Here is a 26,813-nt window from a genome sequence, read left to right on the forward strand (position 1 = left end):
TATTAATCCCAATATCTCAGGGGTTCTACACCCCCTTTGTAATACTGGTCTTAATATCCAACTGGGGAGAGGATAATATTGATCTCAATATCGCAAGGGGTGTACACCTTCCCTGTGATATTGTTCCTAATATCCAGGAAGGGGGAGGAGAGAGTGATATTGCTCTTAGTATTTCAGGGATGTACACACCCATGAGATATTGATCCCAATAGGTAGGGTAAAGAATAATATTACTCCCAAGTTCGCAGGGGCATACATCCAATACCCCATAATATTGTTTTTAATATCCTGTTAGGTAGAGAATGATATTACTCCAAATATCTGATAGGGTGTACAAAACTCCCTGTGATATTGTTCTTAATATACAGGGGAAAAAAGGATGATATTATTCCCAATATCGCAGGTGGTGTAAACCGTGCCTGTGTTATTGTTTCTTCGTCTTTTTTTTTTTTTTTTTTTTTTTTTGAGACATTCTCCTGCCTCAGCCTCTCAAGTAGCTGGGACTACAGGCGCCCGCCACCACGGCCGGTTAATTTTTTGTATTTTTAGTAGAGACGGGGTTTCACCGTGTTAGCCAGGATGGTCTTGATCTCCTAACCTCGTGATCCGCCCGCCTCGGCCTCCCAAAGTGCTGGGATTACAGGCGTGAGCCACCGCGCCTGGTCAGATATTGTTTCTTATATGCAGGCAGGGAGAGGTTGTTATTACTGTCAGTATCGTAGGGGGTGTACACCCACACTGTGATATTGTTCCTAATATTTAGGAGAGGAGAGAAAGACGTCACTCCCAATATTCCAAGGGGTGTACACCTCCCCTGTGATATTGTTCCTAGTATCCAAAAGGAAGAGGATGATATTACTCTCAATATCGCAGGTGGCATATAACCCCTCTGTGATATTGTTTCTAATATTTTGGGGGGGGAGGAGATGATATTATTCCCAATGTCATAAAGGGTATATATTCACTCGGTGTTATTTTTCCTTATATCCAGGGTTGGGAGAGGATGATATTATACCCAAAATTGCAGGGGGTGAATACACCCTCTGTGATATTTTCCTAATATCCGGGGAGGTGGGGAGAGGATGATATTACTCCCAATATCGCAGGCGGTGTAGACCTCCCCTGTGACATTGTTTCTAATATCCAAGGTGGGGAGAGGATAATATTACTCCCAATATTCCAGGGAGTGTACATCCCCCCGTAATATTGTTTTTAATATTCAGGGTAAGAGCGGATATTACTCCAAATATCTCAGGGAGTGTACACTACCCCTATATATTGTTCCTAATATCCAGGGGGGAGATGATGATTCTACTTCCAATATTGCAGGGGGCGTACACCACCTCTGATATTGTTCCTAATATTCAGGAATGGAGAGAATGTTAATACTTGCAACATTGCAGGGGGTGTATATCCCCCTGTGATATTGTTCCTAATATTCAGTGGGGAAGAGGATGATATTGTTCCCAATATCACAGGCGATGTACACCCCCGCTGTGATATTGTTTCTAATATCCAGGCGGGGGGAGTGGGTGATATTACTCCCCATATTGCAGAAAGTGTACTCCCCACTGTTATCTAAATCGTAATATGCAGAAGGGGTAGGGATGACATTACTCTCCATATCGCGGATGTGTACGCCTCTCTGTGATCTGGTTCATAATATACAGGGGGTAGAGGATGATATTACACCCAACATCACAAGAGGTGCACAACCCTTTTGTGATATTGTTTGTAATATCCAGGAAGGGAGAGGATGATATTTTTCCCAATATTGCAGAAAGGGTACAACCACCCTGTGATATTGTTCCTAATATCAAAAGGCGGAAGTATGATACTATTCCCAATATCGCAGTGGGTGTATAACTCCCTGATATATTATTCCTAATATCCCCGTGGGTAGAGGATGATATTACATTCAATATCGCAGTGGGTGTACACCTCCCCTGTGATATTGTTCCTAATAGCCAGGGGAAAAGAGAATGATATTACTCTCAATATTGCAGGTGCTGTACACTACCTTTGTGTTGTAGTACCTAACATCCATGGGAAAGAGGATGATATTACTGTCAATATCACAGGAAGTGTACACCCTTTCTGTGATATTGTTCCCAATATTTACAGGGGGAGAATATAATCTAATTCTATTATTGCAGGGGGTGTTCACTTCCCATGTGATATTGTTCCTAATAATCAGTGGTTGGGGGGAGGGGTGGAGGAGAATGATAATACTCCCAATATCACAGGGGTTGTACAACTTCCCTGTGATATTGTTTCTAATATCCAGAGAAGAGGATGCTTTTATTCCCAATATCACAGGGTGTCTACACCTTTTCTGTGATACTGTTTTTAATACCCAGGGCAGAGATTAGGATACTAGACCCAATATAACAGGGGTTGAACATCTCCCCTGTGATATTGTTCCTAATATCAAGGAGGGGAGACGATATTATTCCCAATATCGCAGGAAGTCTCCACCCTTCTTGTGATATTGTTCCTAATATCCAGGGAGGGAGAGGATGACATTACTCCCAATATTGCAGAGGGTATACACCCCACTATGGTGTTGTTTTCAATATCTAGGTGGGGAGAAGATAATATTACTTTTAATATTGCAGGGTGTGTACACCCCCCTTTCTCGTTCCTAATACCCAGGATGTGAGAGGATGATATCACCCCCAATACCGCAGCAGGTGCACATCGCTTCTGTGATATTGTTTCAGATATCCGAGCAGGGGGAAGGTGATATTACTCCTAATATTGCAGGGTGTGTACAACATCCCTGAGATTTTATTCCTAATATCCAGGGAAGGAGAGGATGATATTACTTTTAATATGGTAGGGAGGGTGGTTAACCCACCCTGTGAGAGTGTTCCTAATATCCAGGTGTGAGGGGAAGATATTACTCCCACTATCGAAAAGGCTGTATACCCCTCCCGTGATATCGTTCCTAATAACCAGGAAGGGAGAGGATATTACTCCCAATAATGCAGGAGATGTACACTCCCACTATGATATTATTTCTAGTATCCATGGTGAGAAAGGATGATAGTACTCCCAATATCCCTGGGCGTGTACGCCTCCCCTGTGATATTATTCCTAATATCCAGAGGGGAAGAGGATGATATTATTCCCAATATCATACCAGCTGTACAACCCCCTGTGACATTGGTTCAAAATCCAGGGGGTGAGAAGATGATATTACTCCCAATATCGCAGGGGGTGTGCACCCCCACTGTGATATTGTTCCTAACATCCAGGGGGGGAGAATGATATTATTTCCAATATCACAGGGTGTTTACACCCCCACTGTGATATTGTTCCTAATTTCAAGGTGGGGAGAGGATGATATTACTTCCAATACCACAGCACAGTTACAACCCCCATATAATATTGTTTCTCAATCCAGGGGGTCAGAAGATGATATTACCCCCAATATCGCACAGGGCGTACACTTTCCTTGTGATATTGTTCCTAATATTTAGTGAGGGAAAGGATGATATTACTCTCAATATCGCATGAGGCATACATATCCACTGTGGTATCGTCCCTAATATCCAAGGAAGACAGAGGATCATACTACTCCCAATATTGCAGGGGGTGTACAATCCCCACTGTGACATTGTTTCTAATATCCAGAAGGGGAAAGAATGATATTACTTTCAGTATCACATGGGGTGTACACCATCCCCCTGTGTGATTGTTTCTGATATCCAGGGGAAAAGAGCATGATATTATTCGCACTATTGCAGGGGCTTTACATACTGCTGTGATATTCTTTCTTATATCCAAAAAGGAAGAGGCTGATATTACTCCCAGTATGGCAGGGGGTGTACACCCCCTGTGTGATTTTGTGACTAATATCCAGTGGGGGAGAGGATAATATTAATCCCAATATCAAATGGGTTGTACTTCCCAGTGATATTGTTCCTAATATCCACTAAAAAGAGAGGCAGATATTACTCCCAATATCGAAGGGCGTGTACCCACCCCATGTGATACTGTTCTTAATTTCCAGAGGGAAGGAGGATAATATTGCTTTCAATATCGCAGCTGGTGTACATCCACCCTGTAATATCATTCCTAATATACAGGAGAAGAATATATTAATTCCAATATCGCTGGGAGCGAACACTTTCCCTGTAATATTCTTCTTGGTATTCAGGTGGGGAGAAAATGATATTATTCCCAATATTGCAAGGAGTGTACACTCCCCATGTGATATTGTTGCTAATAATCAGGGGGGAAAAGGATGATATTGCTCCCAATATCGCAGGACGTGTACACTTATCCTGTGATATTGTTTCTAATATCCAGGTAAAGAGAGGGTGATATTCCTGTCAATATCGCAGGAGGTGTACACCCCACCTGTGATGTTGTTCCTAATATCAACAAAGGGAGAGGATGATATTACTCCCAATATCCAGGGAAAAAGGGGACGACATTACTTTCAATATTGCAATAAGCGTACACCCTAACACTGCTTTGTTTTCTTCTATCCAGGGAGAAAGAGGATGATATTACTCCCAATAGCGCAGAGAGTGTACACCCCACCTGTGATATGTTCCTAATATAAAGAAATGAGAGAATGATATTACTCCCAATACCCCAGGAAGTTTCCACCCCCCTGTGATATAGTTTTTAATATCCAGTAGAAGAGAGGTTGATATTACTCCCAATATCCCAGCAAGTATACACCCACCCTGTGATATTGTTCCTAATATCCACAGTGGGAGAGGCTGTTACTCCCAATATCACAGAAAGTGCACATTCCCTGTGTGATATTGTCCTAATATCAAAAAAGGGAGTTGATGATATTACCCCCAATATTGCAGAAAGTGTACACCCACCACGTGATATTGTTTCTAACATCCAGAGAAGGAGAGGTTATTATTACTCTCAATATCGCATGGGGGGTATACCCACCCTGTGATATTGTCCCTAATATCCAGGATGGGAGAAGATGATGTTACTCCCAATATCGCAGGAAGTGTACATTCCCTCCATAGTATTTTTCCTAATACCCAGTGGAAGACCCAGTGTACACCCCCTCTGTGATATTGTTATTAACATCATAAAAGTGAAAGCATGATATTACTCCCAATATCGTAAGAAATGTATACCTCCCCTGTGATATTGACTGTAATATCCAGTTAGAAAGAGGATGATATTACAAGCAATATTACAAGGAATGTACACACCCCCATGTGACATTATTTCTAAAATCCAGGGGGAAAGAGGATATTACTCCAAAAATAACAGTAGTTGTATACAAATATTTTTCTTAATATCATAAGGTGGACAGGATGATATTACTCCCAATATCATAGGAGATGTACACACGCACTCTAATAAGGTTTGTGTTATACAGAGATTGAGAGGAAGATATTACTCCGAATATCATAGAAGGTGTACAACCCCTTATCAGATTGTTCGTAATATGTAGGAAGGGAGATAATATCATTGCCAAAAAAGTAAATACACTGTGTGTTCACCCCCCTTGTCCCATAGATCGTAATGTCCGGGTGGGGAGATGGTGATATTATTCCCCATGGAACGGGGGATGGAACACCTCCCTTGCTCCATGGGTCGTAATCTCCAGGGAGGGAGGGGCTGATTTACTCCCCTTGGGGCGGGAGGTGGAACCCTCCCCGCCGCTTGCCCTATGGATTGTAATATCCAGTGGGGGAAAGGGTGATATTACTCCCTATGCGGCGGGAGGTGGAACACCCCCTTTGCCCCATGGATGGTAATATCCAGGCGGGAGGGGGTGATATTACTCACCATGGGGCAGGGTGTGGAACACCCCCTTGCCCCATGGATCGTAATATCCAGGGGGGGAGAGGGTGATAATGCTCCCCATGGGGCGAGGGGTGGAACACCCGCCTTGCCCCATGGATTGTAATATCCAGGAAAAGAGAGGGTGATAATGCTCCCCATGGGGAGAGGGGGGTGGAACACCCCTTGCCCAGTGGATCATAATATCCAGAGGGGAGAGGGAGAGGGTGATGTTACTCTCCATGGGGCGGGGGTGAAACATCCCGCTTGCCCCATGGATCGTAATATCCAGGGGGCGAGAGGGTAACATTACTCCCCATAGGGCGGGGGTGGAACACCTCTTTTGCCTCATAAATTGTAATAACCAGGTGGGGAGGTGGTGACATTACTCACCATGGGGCGGGGTGTAGAGCATCCTTCTTGTCCCATACATTGTAAATCAATGGGGAAAGGGGGTGATATTACGGCCCATGGGGCGGGGGTTGAAACACGCCCCTTGCTCCATGGATCCAGTGGGGGAGACGGTGGTATTTCTCCCCGTGGGGCTGGGGGTGGAACACCTTCTTTGCCCCATGGATTCTAATATCCTGGGGTGGGGGAGGGTGATATTACTCCCCATGAGCAGAGGGTGGAACACCCCCCTTGCTCCATGGATCATATCCAAGTGGGGAGACGGTACTATTACTCCCCATGGGGCAGGGGTGTAAAACCCTCCTTGCACCATGGATCGTATATTCAGAGGGGAGAGGGTGATATTACTCCCAATTCTTAACATGATACTATTCGTAATATTTTAGGGTGATGTTTTTTCTAATGTCTCCGTGTGTGTACACCATGTGTGTACACCTTGTGGGGTTTTATGCAGTATCTTTGAAAAATGTTACTCCTAATGTCACAGTGGGTCTACGCCATGTGTGTATACTCTGTGATATTGTTTGTAATGTCATAAGGGGATATTACATGGGTGCACATTGTGTGAAATTATCTGTAATATTCTAGGGGTTGTTTGTCTTAATGTCACCGTGGCTGTATCTGATGTTTTTACATCCTGTTTTATTGTTTATGATACTATAGGGGGATGTTACTTCTAATGTCACAGTGATTGTACACAATGTACGGTTACCCCTAGTGATACTAATTGTAATTTCTTAGGGGGATATTTCTCCTAATGTCACAGTGGGTGTTCACCATGTGCGTACACCCTCTGTGACACTGTTTGTAATATCCTGGCGAGATGTTATATTTAATGTCGCAGTGGGTGTACACCCTGTGTCATTATTTGTAATATCCTCTGGGGATTTTATACCTAATGTCACAGTGGGTGTACACCATGTGTTTATGCCCTGTGATATTATTGGTAATAGTCTAAGAAAATGCTACTCTTAATGTCACAGTAGGTGTACACCATGTGTGTACATCCTGTGATATTATTTGTAAAATCCTAGGTGGATGTTACTCCTAATGTCACAGTGTGTGTACACTATGTGTATACACTCTGTGATATTATTTGTACTCTCCTAGGGGGATGTTACTTTTAATGTGACAGTGGGTGTAACCCATGTGTGTTCACCCTGTGGTATTATTCGTAGAATCCTAGGGGGATGTTACTCCTAATTTCACAGTAAGTGTACACCATGGGTGTGCACCCTGTGATATTATTCATATAATTACAGAAGGATGTTACTTCCAAAATCACAGTGGGTGTACAACAAATGTGTTCACCCTGTGATACTATTCGTAATATTTTAGGGGGATTTTACTCCTAATATCACAGTGCTTATACAGCCTGTGTGTACAATCTGTGATATTATTCATAATATTTTAGGGAGACACGACTTCTAATATCTCACTGGGTGTAGACCCTGTACCACAGTCGATTTACAACCTGTGATATTAGCAGTAATATTTTAGGGGGATATTACACCTAATATCACAGTGTGTGTACACCCTGTGTTATTATTCGTAATATCTTAGAGGAATGTTACTCCTAATATCACAGGAGATGTATAACCTGTTATATTATTTGTTATATTCTTGGGTGATGTTACTCCTATTTTCACAGGAGGTGTACACCCTGTAATATTAATTGTAATTTTCTAGGGGGATGTTACTTTTAATTTCACAGGGAGTGTATACTCTGTGATATTATTCGTAATATCCTAGGGGGGATGTTACTCCTAATGTCACTGGGGGTGTACACTGTGATATTATTCGTAACATTTTAGGGATATGTTACTCCTAATGTCACAGGAGGTGTACACGCTGTGATATTGTTCATAATATCCTAGGGGGATATTACTCCTAATGTCACAGCTGGTGTACATTTTTTGATATTATTCTTAATATCCTAGGTGGATTTTACTCCTAATGTCACAAAGGGTGTACACCTTGTGATATTACTGCTAATAGCCTTGGGGGATGTTACTCCTAAAGTCACAACGGTGGTATACCCTGTGATATTATTCATAATATTCTAGGGTGATGTTACTCCAAATGTCACAGGGGTTGTAATTTCTGTATATTATTTGTAATATCTTAGGGTGATATTACTTATAATGTCACACCCCCGCTATATGGTTAGTAATATCTGAGGGGAGACGGTGATATTGCTCCCCATGTGGCGAGGGGTGTACATTCCCCTGGCATATGGTCCGTAATGTCCGGGGTGGGGGGAAGGGTGTTATTACTTCCCTTGTAGCGGGGGTCGTAGCACCTCCCCGCTGTATGGTCAGTAATATCCAGAATGGGGAGAGGGTGATATTATTCACTATGGGGTGGGGGATGTACAGCCCCTTGCCATATGGTCCGTAATATCCGGGGGGAGAGAGGTGATATTACTCCCCATGGGTTGGGGGGTGTACACCCCCCCGCCATATGGTCCATAGTATCCAGGGAATTGAGAGGGTGATATTACTCCCCATGTGGCGGCGGGTGTACCCCCTCCCGCCATATGGTCCATTATATTCGTGGGGGGAGAGGGTGATATTTCTTCCCATGGGGTGGGGGTGTACACCTCCCGCCATATGGTCCGTAATATCCAGGGTGGGAAAGAGAGTGATATTACTCCCCTGTGGAGGGTGGTGTACACACCCCCGCCCTATGCTTCGTAATATCCAGGGCAGGGAGAGGGTGATATTCCTCCCCATGTGGCAGGGAGTGTACACCCCTCCACCATATGGTCTCTAATATCCAGGGGGGGAAGAGGGTGACATTATTCCCCATGTGGCGGGAGGTGTACACCCCCCTGCCATACGATCCGTAATATCCGTGGGTTGGGGAGAGGGTAATATTACTCCCCGTGTGGTGGTGGGGGATGTACACCCCCCTCCCTGCCATATGGTCCGTAATATCTAGGAGGGAGAGATGGTGATATTACTCCCCATGTGTCGGGGGGTGTACACCCCCACGCCATATGGTGCGTAATATCCGGGGGGAAGAGGGTGGTATTACTTCCCATGTGTGGAGGGTGTCCACATCCCTGTGATATGGTCTGTAATATCCATGAGTAGGAGAGGGTGGTATTATTCCCCATGTGTTGGGGGATGTACACCCCCATGCCATATGGTCTGTAATATCCGAGAAGAGAGAGAGAGGTATTACTTCCTATGTGGCAGGGGGTGTACACATCCCTGTGATATGGTTCGTAATATCCAGGGTGGGGAGGGTGATATTAGTCCCCATGTTGCGGTGGGTGTACACCCTCCCCCGCCACGATATGGTTTGTAATATTTAAGGGGGAAGTGGGTGGTGTTACTTTCCATGTGGCAGGGGGTGTACACCCCCTGCCATATGTTTCGTAATATCCAAGGGAGAAAAGGGTGGTATTACTCCCCATGTGGCGGGGGGTGTACAACTTCCTGCCATATGATTTGTAATATCCAGTGAAGAGAGGGTGTTATTACTCCCCAGGTGGCCGGGGTGTATACCCCACTGCAATATGGTTTGTAATATCTAGCCAGGGAGAAGGTGGTATTACTTCCCAGGTGTACAACCGCCTGCGGAATGGTTTGTAATATCCAGGAGGGGAGAGGGTGGTATTACTCCCCATGTTGCTGGGGGTGTACAACCCTGTGCGATATGGTTTGTAATATCCAGTGGGGAAGAGGGTGGTATTATTCCCCATGTGGCGGGGGGTGTACAGCCTTTTGCGATATGGTTTGTAATATACAGGGAGCACTATTACTCCCCATGTGGCAGGGGGGTGTACACCCTTCTGTGATATGGTTCTTAATATTAAGGGGGGATAGCCTGGTATTACTTCTCGATTGTACCTTGCGATATGGGGAGTAAAATCTCTGGGTGTACAATCCTTTGTAATATCTACATTGGAATAAGCTATAACAGTTTCCTAGAATATTTGGAATAATTTCACAGGGTGTACACCTCTTGAGACATTAGGAGTAAGATCTCCCTACAATATTACAAATAATTTCTCAAGGTGTACACTCACTGTGACATTAGGAGTAACATTTCAGTATAATACTATGAACAATACCACTGGGTGTACACTCCCTGTGAAATTAAGTGTAACATCTCAATAGGATATTAGTAATAATATAACTGGGAGTACACCACGTGTGATATTAGGAGTAACATCTTTCTTGGATATGATGAATGATATCTATTATTATTATAATTATTAATTATTTTTCATAATAGTTATTTTAATTCTCAATATGATATTATTCATAATAATCTAGGGGGATGTTTTTCCTAATGTCACAGTGTGTTTACACCATGTGTGTACACCCTGTGGGGTTTTACGTACTATCATAGAAAAATATTACTTCTAATGTCACAGTGGGTTACTCCATGTGTGTATACTCTGTTATATTATTCATAATGTCCTAGGGAAATATGTGGGTGTACATTCTGTGAAATTACCTGTATTGTCCTAGAAGTTGTTACTCTTAATGTCACAGTGGGTGTACACGATTTGTGTACATCCTGTTTTATTATTTATAATACTATAGGGGGATGTTACTTCTAATGTCACAGTGAGTGTACATAATGTGTGGGTACTCCCAGTGATACTAACTGTAATTTCCTAGGGGGATATTTCTCCTAATGTCACAGTGGGTGTACACCATATGTGATGTTATTTGTAATATCCTGGCGAGATGTTACATTTAATGTCACAGTGGGTGTACATCCTGTGTTATTATTTGTAATATCCTCTGGTGATGCTACTCCTAATGTCACAGTGGGTGTACACTATGTGTATACACTGTGTGATATTATTCATAATATTCTAGGAAAATGCTGTACACCATGTATGTACACCCTGTGATATTATTTGTAAAATCCTTGGTGGATGTTACTCCTAATGTCACAGTGGGTGTAGACTATGTGTATACACTGTGTGATATTATTCGTAATATCCTAGGGGGATGTTACTCCTAATGTCACAGTTGGTGTTCGGGGGATGTTGCTCCTAATTTCACAGTAAGTGTACATTATGTGTGAATACCCTTTGATATTATTTGTATAATTACGGGGGGGGTGTTACTTCTAATGTCACAGTGTGTGTACAACATATGTGTTCACCCTGTGATACTCTTTGTAATATTTTAGGGAGATTTTACTTCTAATATCACAGTGGTTGTACAGCCTGTGTGTACAACCTGTGATACTGCTTGTAATATCCTAGGGAGACATGACTTCTAATATCACACTGAGGGTACACCCTGTATCACAGTGGGTGTACAACCTGTGATATTAGCAATAATATCCTAGGTGATATTATGTCTTATGTCACAGTTTGTGTACACTCTGTGATATTATTCATAATATCTTAGGTGAATGTTACTTCTGATGTCACAGGTGATCTATAACTTGTGATATTATTTGTTATATTCTAGGATGATGTTACTCCTAATGTCACAGCGGGTGTAAACCCTGTGATATTTATCATAATTTCTTTGGGGGATGTTACTTTTGATTTCGCAGGGAGTGTACACCCTGTGATATTATGCGTTATATCCTAGGGAGATGTTACTCCTAATGTTACAGGGGGTGTACACCCAGTGATATCATTCATAATATCCTAGGAGTATGTTACTCCTAATGTCAGAACTGGTGTACATACTGTGATATTATTCTTAATATCCTAGGTGGTTGTTACTCCTAATGTCACAGAGGGTGTACATCCTGTGATATTACTGGTAATATTATAGGGGGATGTTACTAAATTCACATTGGGGGTACACACTGTGATATTATTGGTAACATCCTAGGGTGATGTTACTTCTAATGTCACAGGGGTTGTCTTTCCTGTGATATTATTTGTAATACCCTAGGATGATATTACTTATAATGCCACAGGGGGTGTGCACCTTGTGATATTATTCACAATTTTCTAGAGGTTTGTTACTTTTAATGTCACAGGGTATGTACATTCTGTGATAATATATGTAATATCCTAAGAAGATATTACCGCAAACATCACAGTGCATGTACACACACGGTGTACACACTGTGATATTATTTGAATTACTTTAGGAAGATATAACTCCTAATATCACTGTGGGTGTTCACCTCCTATGTTAACATTCGTAATATTCTAAGGGGATATTACTCCTAATGTCACAGTGGGTGTACGCCAAGTGTGTACACACCCTGTAATATTATTCATAACATCCAAGGAGCATGTTACTCCTAATGTAACTTGGGTTGTACACTATGTGTGTACACCGCTGCGTTATGTTATTCCTAATAACCTTTGGTGATTTTAACTTTAATATCTCACGGGTTCTATAGCATGTGTGTACAACCCCTGTGATATTATTCGTAGTAAGCTAGGGGGATATTATCTCTAATATTTTGGTGGATGTTACTCCTATAAAACAGTGGTTGTACGCCATGTGTGTACACCACAGGGGGTGATATCATTTCTATTATCCTAAGGGGATGCTGCTACTAATGTCACAGTGCTTGTACACCATGTGTACAATCCCGGTTATATTATTTGTAATATCTTAGGGGGTTGTTAATCTTAATGTAACCCTCTGGTTACATGTAATGTAACCATTATGTGTATACACTCTCTGGGATATTATTTGTTATAGTTTTGGAGATATTACTCTCCTAATGTCACTGTGCATTTACACCTTGTTTGTACGTCTTTGGATATTATTCGTAACATCCCCGGGAGATATTCCTCTGCTAATATCACAGTAAGTGTTCACCATATTTGTACTCCCTGGAATACTATTTGTAATATCCTTGCGAGATATTACCTCCTAATATCACAGTGGGTTTACACCATGTGTGTACACTCTGGGATATTATTCCTAATATACTGAGAAGATATTATTCCTAATATTACAGTCAGTGTACACCCAAATATATTATTCATAATATCCAGGGGAGATATTACTTCTAATATCACAGTGGGTGTACACCCTGGGATATGGTTCGTAATATCCTGGAAAGATATTATTCATTATGTCACAGTGGATATACACCATGTATGTACACCCTGGGATATTATGCATAATATCCTGGGGAGATATTATTCCTAATATCACAGTGGGTGTACACCAGGTGGGTACACCCTGGGATATTATTTGTATTATCCAGGGAAGATATTAGTCTCCTAATATCACAGTAAGTGTACACCATGTGCGTACACTCTGGGATATCGCTCGTAATATCCGGGGGAGATGTTATTCTCCTAATATTACACTGGGTGTACACCATGTGTGTACACCCTGGATGTTATTTATAATATCCTTGGGAGTTATTACTTTCCTAATACCACAGTGGGTATACAATATTTGTGTACCACCTGGAACATTATTCTTAATATCCTTGAGAGATGATACCCTCCTGATGTCACAGAGGGTGTACATCATGTGTGTACACCCTGGGATATTATTCGTAGTATTTTGGGGAGATATTACTCTCTTAATGTTACAGTTTGTTTACACCATATTTGTACATTCTGGGATATTATCCATAACATCCTGAGAGATATTACTGTCCTAATATCGCAGTAGGTGTTCACCATGTTTGTATACCCTGGAATATTATTCGTAATATCCTTGGGAGATATTTCTCTCCTAATGTCACATTGGGTTTACACCATGTGTGTATACTTTTGGATATTATTCATAACATTTTGGGGAGATATTACTCTCCTAATGTCACAGTGCATTTCCATCTTGTTTGTACATCCTGGGTTTATTATTTGTAATATCCTGGGGAGATATTACTCTCCTAATATCACAATAGGTGTTCACCATTTTTGTACACCCTGGAATATTATTTGTAATATCCTTGGGAGATATTACTCTCCTAATATCACAGTAGGTTTACGCCATGTGTGTACACTCTGGGATATTATTTGTAATATCATGTGGAGATATTACTCTCCTAATATCACAGTGAGTGTACAACATGTGTGTACAACCTGGGATATTATTCGTAATATTCTGGAGAGGTAACACAGTTTGTGATATTACACCCAGTATCGCAGAGGGTGTATACTATTTCTTTGATATTGTTCCTAATATTCAGGGGGGAAATTATATTACTCCTAATATCACAGGATTTGTACACCTCCCTTGTAATATTGTTCCAAATATCTAGGGAAAGAGAGAATGATATTACTCAAGATATCCCAGGGGATGCACATTCCCCAGTGAGATTGTTCCTAATATCCATGAAGGAGAGGATGGCATGACTCTCATTATCGCAGGTGGTGTACACCCCTTCTGTGATATTGTTTCTAATATCTAGGGGGGGAGTGGATGATGTTACTCCCAATATTGCGGGGGATATCCTTTGTGATATTGTTCCAAATATCCAGGGGGTGAGAGGATAGTATTACTCTCAATATCACAGGAGTTGTGCACCCCTTTGTGATATTGTTCTTAATATCCACGAGAGGAGATGATGATATCACTGCCAATATCGCAGTTGGTGTACACCTCTTCTGTGATATTGTTCCTAATATCTTTGAGGGAAGAGGATAATATTACTTTCAGCATCGCAGTGGGTGTACACCTTACTTGTGATATTGTTCTTAATATCCAGGGGAAAAGAAGATGATATTACTGTCAATATTGCAGAAGGTGTACACTCCCCATGTGAAATTGTTCCTTATATTTAGGTGGAGAGAGAATAAATTTACTCCCAAGATCGCAGGGGGTGTACAACCCCTGTGATATTGTATCTAATAGCCGGGGGGAGAGGATGACATTACTTAAAATATCACAGGGCGTATACACCCCTCCTGTGATATTGTTCCAAATATCCAAGTGAAGAGATAAAAATACTCCCAATATTGCAGGGGGTAGACACTCCCCACATAATAATGTTCCTAATATTCGGGGGGGAAGTATAATATCATTCCCAGTATATCAGGGGGTGAACACAACCCTTTTGATATTGTTTCTCATATCCTGTGGGAAAGAAAGTGGTATTACTACCAAATTCACATGGGGCGTACACCATACCATTCTGTGATATGGTTCCTAATATCCAGGTGAGGAGAGGATGATATTACACTCAATTTCCCAGGGGTTATACACCCCCACATTGATATTGTTTGTAATCTCCAGGAGAGAAGAGGATATTACTCTTAGCATCACAGGGGCTGTACACCACTCCTGTGATATTGTTCCTAACACCCTGGGTGGGAGAGGATGTTATTACTCCCAATATCGCAAGGGGTGTACACCCACCATGTGGTATTACTTCTCATATTTCATGGGGGAGAGGAAGATATTACTCCCAATATCGCAGAAGGTGTACACCCCACCTTGTGATATTGTTCTTAATATCCAGTGGGGAGAGGATGATATTACTCTCAATATCACAAAGGGTTTACACCCCCCATGATATTATTCCTAATATCCATTGGGGGAGAAAATAATATTAATCCCAATAACGCAGGGGGTGTACACTCTTCCTGTGATATTGTTCCTAATATCCAGGGAGAGAGGGGATGGTATTACTCTCAATGTCCCATGGGGTGTGCACCCCTCCTGTCATATTATTCCCAATATTTAGAGGAAAGAGATTGATATTACGCTCAATATTGCCATGCATGTACACTCCCCTCCCACGTGATACTGTTCCTAACATCCAGGGGGAAAGAGAATTATATTACTGCCAACATCACAGGGGTTGTACACTTCCCTGTGATATGGTTCATAATATTCAGGGGGGTAGAGGGTGATATTACTCCCCATAACGCGGGAAGTCTACACTTTCAGGTGATATGGTTCATAACATCCGGTGGGGGAGAGAGTGTGACTGCTCTCCATATCACTGGTGGTGTAGACTCCCCTGTTACATGGTTCATAATATCCAGGGGGGAGAGGGTGATATTACTCCCCATATCGCTGGAGTTGTACATCCCCGATGATATGGTTCATAATATCCGTGGCGGGGGTGGGGGTGAGGGTGATATTACTCCCCATATCGTGGGGGGTGTACACCCACAGTGATATGGTTCATAATATTCAGGGGTGGAGGGGATAATATTACTCCCAGTATCGCGAGGGGGGGGTGGGTGTAACTGCCCACTTATGATATTGTTCCTAATATCCAGTGTCGGAGAGGATGATATTACACCACTTATCACAGGGGGTGTACAGCCCCCCTGATATGTTTCACAATATCCATGGTGGGAGAGGGTGATATTACTTTTTATATCGTGTGGTGTGTTCAGCCCCCTGTGATATGGTTCGCAATATCCATGGAAGAGAAGGTAATATTACTCTCCATATCACGGGGGGAGTACATCACGCCGCGATGTGGTTCACAATATTCAGCGGGGGAGACGGTGATATCTAACTCCCCATATTGTGGGGGGTGTGCACCCCCCTGTGATATGGTTTGTAATATCCAGTAGGGGAGAGTGTGATATCACGCCTTTTATCGCAGGAGGCATACAGCCCCCTGTGATATGGTTCACAATATCTAGGGGTGGAGAGGGTGATATTACTCCCCATATCCCAGGGAGTGTACACACCCCTGTGATATCATTTGCAATATCCTGGGGGTGAGAGGATGATATTACTCCCCATATCGTTGAGGGTTTGATATGGTTCATAATATCCACAGGGGGAGAGGGTAATATTACTCCCCATATTGCAAGAAGTGTGTTATGGTTCGTAATATCCAGAGGGGGAGATGGTGATATTACTCCCCATATCCCGGGGGGTGTACATTTTTCTGTGATATGGTTTGTAATATCCATTGTGAAGATCGTGATATTACTCATAGTATTGCGGGGTGTGTAACCACCCACTTGTGATATTGTTCCTAATATCCAGGGGGAAAAAGGATGATATTACTCCTAATATTGCACGGGTGTGTGCCACCACTGTGATACTGTTCCTAATATCTAGGGAAGGAGAGGATGATATGACTTCCTATAGTGCAGTGAATGTACACCCCTCCTGCGATATTGCTTTTAATATCCAGGGGAGGAAAAGAATGATATTTCTCCCAATATCAAGGGTGGTTTTCACCCCCCCATGATATTGTTTCTAATATCCAGGGGAGAAAAGGACTAATATTACTCCCAATATCGAGAGGGGTCTACATCCCTTCTGTGATATTGTTCCTAATATGCGAAGGGGAAGGATATTACTTCCAAAATCACAGGGGTATGCACCATTTCTGTGATATTCTTCCTAATATCCAGGGGTGAAGAAGATGATAATACTCCCAATATCGCAGTGGGTGTACACCCCCATGTGATATTGTTTCTAATATCCAGAAGTGGAGAGCATGATATTACTCCCAATATCACAGGGGCTGTGACATTGTTATATTGTTTCTGTTATATTGTTTCTAATATCCACAGAAGGATATTGCAGGGGGTTTACACACCCACTGTGATATTATTTCTAATATCGTGAGGGAGAGAGGATGATAGTAATTCCAGTATTTCAGGGGGTGTACACCCTTGCTGTGAAATTGCTTTTATATCCAAAGGGCTAGAGGCTGATATTATTTCAGTATCACAGGAAGTGTACACTCACCCTTTGATATACTTCCTAAAGTTTAGAAAAGAATAATATTACTTTCAATATTGCAGATGGTATACACAGTTTCTGTGATATTGCTGTCAGTATCCAGGGGGAGAGAGGGTGATATGACTTCCAGTATCACAGGGAGTGTACACCTCCCTTGTGATATTGTTCCTAATATCCAGGGCAGGCAGAAGATGATATTATTACAAATATTGCAGAAAGTGTAAACCCCCCCCGTGATATTGTTCATAATTTCCAGGGGAAGAGAGGATGATATAACTCTCAATATCTCAGGGGATGTACACCAGCCCTGTGATATTGTTTCTAAAATCAAGCAGGGGGGAGGATGACATTACTTCCAATATCGCAAAAGGTGTACACCCCTTCTGTGATATGGTTCCTAATATCCATGAGAAAGAGGATGATATTACTCCCAATACCGCATGGGGTGTACACCCCCTCTATGGTATTGTTTTTAATATCCAGAGGAAGAAAGGATGATATTACACCCAATATTACAGAGGGTGTACACCCTCCCGTGATATTCTTTTTAATATCAAGGGAAAAGAGAATGATATTACTCCCAATATCAAAGGGTGTGTGCACCACCCCTGTGATATTGTTCCTAATATCCAGGGAGGAGATAATAAAATTATTCCAAATATCACAGGGGCTGTACACCTCTCCTGTCATATTGTTCCTAATATCTAGGGTGGGGAGAAGATAACATTATTCCTAATTACTCAGATGGTTACACCATCCCTGTGATATTGTTTCTAATATCCAGGGGGAAAGAGGATGATATTACTCCCAATATCGCAGGTGGTGTACAGCACCCCTGATATTGTTCCTAATATCCAGAGAGGGAGAGAATGTTCTTACTCCCAATATCATAGAGATTGTACAACCCTCTTGTGATATTGTTTGTAATATCCAGAAGGGGAGAAAATGATATTACTCCCAATATCGCAGGTTGTGTACATTCCCCCCTGTGATATATTTACTAATAACCGGGGGGGAGAGGATGCTATTACTCTCAATATCGTGGAGGTTGTACACCCCCCTTGTGATATTGTTCCTATTATCCAGGTGGACAGACGAAGGTATTATGATTAATATCCCCAAAATTTTGCACCCCCTGCTGTGATAGATTTCCTAATATCAGAAGGTGAGAGGATAATATTACTCCCTAAATCGCAGGGGGTGTACACTCTCCCTGTGATATGGTCCCTAATATCTATGGGGAAAGAGGATGTTATTACTCCCAATATCGCAGAAGGTGTACATCCCTCACACATGATATTGCTTCTAATTCCCGTGGGAGAGAGGATGATACTACTCCCGATATTGTAGAAGTTGTACACTTTGCTTGTGATATTGTTTCTAATATCCATGGGGATGACGATGATATTGCTGTCAATATCCTAAAGAGTGTACACCTGCAATAAGATATTGTTTCTAATATCCGGGGGGGAGAGGAAGATACAACTTCCATTATCGCAGAGGGTGTACACTTCGCCTGTGATATCGTTTTTAATATCCAAGGGAAGAGAGGATGATATTACTCCCAATATCGCAAAGAATGTACACCACTTTGGTGATATTTTTCCTAATGTACAGGGCGGGAGAGGATGATTTTACTCCCAATATCGCAGGGGATGTACAGCACCCTGTGATATTCTTCCTAATATCCAGAAGGAAAGAGAATGCCATTACTCCCAATATTGCAGGGTGTATAAACCCCTTCTGTGATATTGTTTCCAGTATCCAGGGAGGGAGAGGATAATATTACTACCAATATTGAAGGGCAGATGTACTCCCTCCCTGTGATATTGTTCTCTATATCCAGGGAAAAGAAGATGATATTACTCCCAATATTGCAGAAAGTGTACACAGTGCCCCCCCGCCCCGTGATATTGTTTCTAATGCCCGGTGGGGGGAGAAGATAATGTGACTCCCAATATTGCAGGAAGTGTATACGTTCTCGGTGATATTGTTCCCAATATCCAGGGGAAAGAGAATCATATTATTCCCATTATCGAAGGATGTGTACACCCCCCTGTTGTATTATTCCTAATATCCAGGTGGGGATATGTTAATATTACTCCAAATATTGCAGGGGCTGGTCACCCACCATGTAATATTGTTCCTAATACCTAAGGGGAAAATAATATTACTCCCAATATCGCAAAGGGTGGACATCTTTCCTGTAAATTTGTTCCTAATATCCGCTGCAGAGAGAGGATGATATACTCTCAATGTCGCAGGGAGTGTTCATCCCCACTTTAATATTGTTCCTAATATTCAGTAGTGGAGAGGATGGCATTACTTACAATATCGCAAAGAGTGTACAACCCTCTTGTGACATTGTTCCTAATATCCAGGGGAAAATAGGATGATATTACTCCCAATATCTCAGGGAGTTTACACTGCCTCTGCGATATTGTTCCTAACATCTAGATAAGAAGAGAATATCACTCCCAAAATCGCAGAAGGTGTGCACCCCAAGTGTAATATAGTTCCTGATATCCAGGGGGGACAGGATGATATTACTCCCAATATTGCAGGAACTGTACACCCCCCTGGTGATATTGTTTCTAATACCCAGGTGGAAAAACGATTATATTACTCCCAATATCCCAGGGGCTGTACAACCCGCCTGTGATATTGCTTTTAATGTCCAGTGGGGGATAGAACTCTATTACTATCAATATCACTGGGAGAGTACACCCCGCCCAGTGATATTCTTCCTAATATCCAGAAAAGGAGAGTTTGATGTTAGTCCAAATATAGCAAAGGGTGTACAGCCCGCTTGTGGTATTGTTCTTAATATTTAGGGAGCAGAAGATAATATTATTCCCAATATCGAAGGGGGTGTTCACCATTTCTGTAATATTGTTCCTAATATCCAGAAGCTAAGCAGATGATATTACTTTCAATATCACAGAAAATGTCCACACCCCCTTGTGATATTGTTCCTAATATGCAGGGGAAGAGAGGATGACATGAGTTTCAACATCGCAGGGGGTGTACACCCCGCCTGTAGTATAATTCCTATATCCAGAGGAAGAGGGAGGATGAAGTTATGCCCAATATCGCAGTGGCTGTACACCCACCCTCCCGGGTGATGTTGTTTCTAATATCCAGAGGGGAGAATATATTACTTCCAATATCGTAAACACCTTGAGTGTACACCCCCCTGGGATAGGGTTTGTAATATTTAGGAGGGGAGAGGGTGATACTACTCCTGATATCACGGGGTGTGTACACTCTGCTGTGAAATGGTTTGTAAGATCCGGTGGGGAGTGGATGATAATACACCCCATATCGCTGGGGAGTGTACACTCGCCTGTGATATGGTTCGTAACATCCAGAGGGGGAGAGGATGATATCACTCCCCATATCGCAGGGGCGTGTACACCCCTCTGTGATATGGTTCATAACACTCAGGGGAGGAGAGGGTTATAACACTCCCCATATCTTTGGGGTTGTACAACTCCCAATATCGCAGGGTGTGTACACCCTTCTGTGATATTTTTCATAATATCTAGGCGGGAAGAGGACGATATTACTCCCAATATCTCAGGGGTTGTAAACCCCCCTGTGATGTTGTTTGTAATATCCAGGGAAGGAAGATGATGATATTACTCCCAATATCACAGAAGGTGTATACCCTCTGTGATATTGTTTGTAATATCCAGGGTGGTAGGGGATGATATTACTCCCAATATCACAAGGGGTGTACACCCCCTGTGATATTGTTTGTAATATCCGGAAGGGTAGGGAATGATATTACTTCCAATATCGCAGGGGGTGTATACTCCCCTGTGATATTCTTCAAAATATCTAGAAAAAAAAGGGGATGATATCACTCTCAATATCGTAGGGGGTGTACTCCTTCCTGTGATATTGTTCATAGGAGGTGTACGTCTGCTTGTGATATTGTTGGTAATATCTAGGGGGCGAGAGGATGATATTACTCCCAATATCACAGGGTGTGTAAACCCCCTGTGATGTTGTTAATAATATTCAGTGGGGGAAGAAGATGATATTACTTCTTCTTATTAGACAAAGGGATGATATTACCTCCAATATCGCAGAAGGTGTACACCCTCTGTTACATTTTTCATAATATCCAGGAGGGGAGGAGATGATATTACCCTCAATATCACAGTGGGAATACACTCCCTATAATAAGGTTTGTAATATTAGAAGGAGAGGGGATGATATTACATCCAATATCACAGGGTGTGTGCACCCCGCAGTGATATTGTACGTAATATGCAGGGAGAAAGGGAATAATATTAGTCCCAATACTGCAGAGGGTGTACATTCCTCTATCATATTGTTCGTATTATCCGGGGGGCGGGGATGATATTACTCGCAATATTGCAAGAAGTGTACACCCTCTCTGATACTTTTCATAATATTTAGGGAAAGAGGGGATGATATTACTCCCAATATTGCAGTGGGTGTACACCCCAATGTTATATTGTTCATAATATCCAGAAGGAGATAAGATGCTATTACACCCAGTATTGCAGGGAATGTACAAACCCCTGTTACATTGCAAGGGTTGTACACTCCCCTGTTCATAATATCCAGGGGAAGAGAAGATATTACTCCCAATACCCTCATATCCTACGGAGATATTACTCCTAATATCACAGTGGGTTTACATCATATGACTACACCCTGTTATACTATTCATTATATCATAGGGAGATATTTCTCCTAGTATCACAATGGGTGTACACCATGCATGTATACCCTGTGATATTATCTGTAATATCCTAGGAAGATATTACTCCTACTATCACAGTGGGTATACACCATGTGTGTAGACCCTATGATATTATTTGTAATATCCTGGAAAAATATTACTCCTATTAACACTGTGAATGTACACCATGTGCATATACCTTGTGATATTATTTATAATATCCTAGGGAGGTATTACTCCTACTATCACAGTGGGTGTACACCATATATGTACACTTTTTGACATTATTTCTAGTATCCTTGGAAGATATCACTCTTAGTATGACAGTGGGGGGTACACCATGTGTGTACACCCTGTGATATTATTCACAATATCCTAGGGAGATATTGTGAATATCACAGTAGGGGTACACCATGTGTGTTCACCCTGTGATATTATTCATAATATCCTAGAGAGATACTACTCCTAGTATCACAGTGAGAATACAGAATCTGTGTACATTCAGTGAAATTATTTATAATATCCCAGGGAGATATTAATCCTAGTATCACAGGGAAGGTACACAATGTAAGTACACCCTGTGATATTATTTGTAATATCCTAGGGAAATATTACTCCTAGTATCACAGTAGGGGTACACCATGTTTGTACACCCTGTGATATTATTTGTAATATTCTAGGGAGATATTACTCCTAATATCACAGTGAGTGTGCACCTTGTGATATTCATAATATCCTAGAAAGATATTACTTCTAATATCACAGTAGGGTACAACATTGTGTACACCTACTGTGATATTATTCATAATAACCTAGAGAGCTATTACTCTTAATATCACAGTGGGTATATACAATGTTATATAATTAGTAATATCCTATGGAGGTATTACTCTTAATATCACAGTGGGTGTACACCTTGTGTGTACATCCATTGATGTTATTCATAATATTCTAGGGAGATATTACGTGTAATATCACAGTGGGTGCACTCTGTATGATGTTATTTATAATATACTTGGCAGATGTTATTTATAATATTCTTGGCAGATATTATTCCTAATATCACAGTGGGTGTACACCTTGTGAGTACAATCTGTGATATTATTCATAATATTCCAGGGATATATTAATCCTAATATCACAGTAGGTGTACACTCTGTGATACTATTCATAATATTCTAGGGATATATTACTCCTAATATCACTGTGGGTGTACACCCTGTGATATTATTTTTAATATTCTAAGGAGATATTACTCCTAATATCATAGTTGGTGTGCACCCTGTGATAATATTCATAATATTTTAGTGATAATATTTTTTAATATCACAGTCAGTGTACACCCTGTGATATTATTTGTAATATTCTAGGGAGATATTACTCCTAATATTACAGTGGGTGTACACCCTGTGATATTATTTGTAATATCCTAGGGAGATATTACACCTAATATCAAAGTGTTGTGATATTAAGTGTAATATCTCCCTAGGATATTATGAATCATATCAAAGGGTGTACAGGCACTGTAATAGGATATCGCCCTGTGTGTATACCCACTCCGATATTATATGTAATATTCTAAGGAGATATTACTCCTCATATAACAGTGAGTGCACATCTTGTGTATACCTTGTACACTCACTGTCTACACCCTCTGTGATATTAGGAGTATTATCTTCATAGGATATTATGAATAACCTCACAGTGAGTGCACACGCTGTGTGTACACCCACTGTGTTCTTAATATTCTAGGAAGATACTACTCTTAGGAAGATGTCACAGGATGTCTACACATGCTGTACATTTTCTGTGATATTAGGAATCATATCTCCCTAAAATATTACAAATAATGTCACATGATCTCCACACATGATGTACACCCCCTTTGACATTAAGAGTACTATCTCCCTATGATATTATGAATGATGTCACAGAAGGTGTCCACAGACAGGGTACACCTTCTGTGACATAGAAGTAATATCTCCCTAGGATATTATGAATAATGTCACGAGGTGTCCACAAACGTTGATCACCCCCGTGACATTAAGTGTAATATCTCCCTAAGATATTACAAATAATGTCACAGGGTTTCCACACATGGTGTATACCCCCGGCGACATTAAGAGTAATATCTTCCTAGAATATTATGAATAATGTCACAGGGTTTCCACCCATAATGTACACCCCCTGTGACATTAGGAGTAAGATCTCGCTGTGTGTGTGTGTACACCCACTGTGATATTATTCATAATATGCTATGGATGTAATACATCTAATATCATAGAGGGTGTACACCCTGTGTGTGCACCAACTGTGATATTATTTGTTATATCCTAGAGAGATATTACTCCTAATATCACAGTGGGTGTAGAGATATTACCCTTAATATCACAGTGGGTTTACATCATGTGTTTACACCCTGTGATATTATTCTTAATATCATAGGGAGATATTCCTTCTAATATCACAGTGTGTGTACAGTCTGTGATATTATTCATATCATAGAAATATATTACTCAATATCACAGTGAGTGTACATCATAAGTGTACACCCTGTGAAAATATTCATAATATTTTAGAGATATATTACTTTTAATGTCACAGTGGGTGTACACCCTGACATATTATTTGTAATATCCTAGTGAGATATTGCTTTTAATGTTAATGTGACTGTACACCCTGGGATATTATCTGTAATATCCCAGGGAGATTTTTCTCTTAGTTTCACAGTAAGTGTACACCCTGGGATAGTATTTGTAATATCCTAGGTAGATATTACTCCTAATATCACAGTTAGTGTGCACCCTGAAATATTATTCATAGTATCCTAGGAAGATATTACTCCTAATATCACAGTTGGTGTACAGCCTGTGAAATAATTCATAATATTATAGGGAGATATTACTCCTAATATAATATCACAGTGGGTGCACACCTGTGTGTGCACCCTGGGATATTCTTTGTAATCTCCTAGGGAGATATTAATCCTAACATCACAGTCAGTGTACACCCTGTGTGTACACCCGGGATATTATTTGTAATGTCCTAGGCAGATATTATTTTTAATATCAGTGTATGTACACATTGTGTGTACACCCTGAGATATTATTTGTAATGTCATAGGAAGACATAATTCCTAATATCAACATGGGCATACACCCTTTGTGTACACCCTGAAATATTATTTATAATGTAATATGAAGATATTACTCCTAACATCACAGTGGGTATACACGCTGTGCATACACCCTGGAAAATTATTCGTAACAACCCAAGGAGATATTACTCCTAATATCACAGTGGGTGTACACCACATGCGTTCACCCTGTGATATTAGTTATAACATCATAGGGAGATATTACTTTTAATATCGCAGTATGTGTACACACTGTGATAATATTTCTAATATGTTAAACAGATATTGCTCCTAATATCACAGTGGAGGTACACCCTGTGATATTATTCATAATATCTTAAGGGGATATTACTTCTAATATCCCAGTGGGTGTACACCCTGTGATATCTGTAATATTTTAGGCAGATATTACTTTTAATATCCCAGTGGGTGTATACCCTGTGTGTACATGCTGTGTTATTATTTGTAATATTTTAGGGAGATATTACTCCTAATATCCCTGTGGGTGTATACCCTGTGTGTATACCCTGTGATATTATTTGTAATATCTTAGGGAGATATTACTCATAATATTCCAGTGGGTGCACACCCTGTGTGTACATCCTGTGATATTATTTGTAATATCTTAGGGAGATATTACTCCTAATATCCCAGTGAGTGTTCACCCTGTGTGTACACTCTGTCATGTCATTTGTAATAGCTTAGGGAGATATTATCCCTAATATCTCAGTTATTGTACACCCTTTGCATTCAGCCTTTGTTGTCGTTTTTATCATCTTAAATAGATATCACTCCTAGTATTTCAGTGGGTGTACACACTGGATGTACACCCCGTGATATGATTCATAATATCTAGAAAGATATTATTCCTAATATTCCAGTGGATGTACACCCTGTGGGTATGTACTCTGATGTGGCTATAACGGATATCATGGATATCATGCAAAATATCATCAATATTTTATTAATATCATAGTATGTTAAAACTAGGTATTATAAATATCATGGATATTTCATTAATATCTTAGTGTGTTAATACTGAGTATTAACATTTGTTATTATAAATATCATGTATATTTTATTAATACCATAATGTGTTCACACTGTGTTAACACTACATATTATAAATATCAAAGATATTTTATTAATATCATAGTGTTTTAACACTGGATATCATAAATAT

General features: G+C 40.9%; 1 protein-coding gene and 1 non-coding gene across 3 annotated transcripts in view; one reads left to right on the plus strand and one right to left on the minus strand.

Moving 5' to 3' along the window:
* SLC25A48 (solute carrier family 25 member 48) overlaps positions 1-26,813 on the plus strand; it is a 309,466-nt gene that overhangs the window by 200,549 nt on the left and 82,104 nt on the right. The window lies entirely within an intron of this gene.
* MIR5692C1 (microRNA 5692c-1) lies at positions 23,265-23,355 on the minus strand. Its single transcript, NR_049867.1, has one exon. It is a non-coding gene; the product is annotated as a microRNA 5692c-1 (primary transcript).

The sequence above is a fragment of the Homo sapiens genome, chromosome 5 (genome assembly GCF_000001405.40).
Source record: "Homo sapiens chromosome 5, GRCh38.p14 Primary Assembly".
Lineage (NCBI taxonomy): Eukaryota > Metazoa > Chordata > Mammalia > Primates > Hominidae > Homo > Homo sapiens.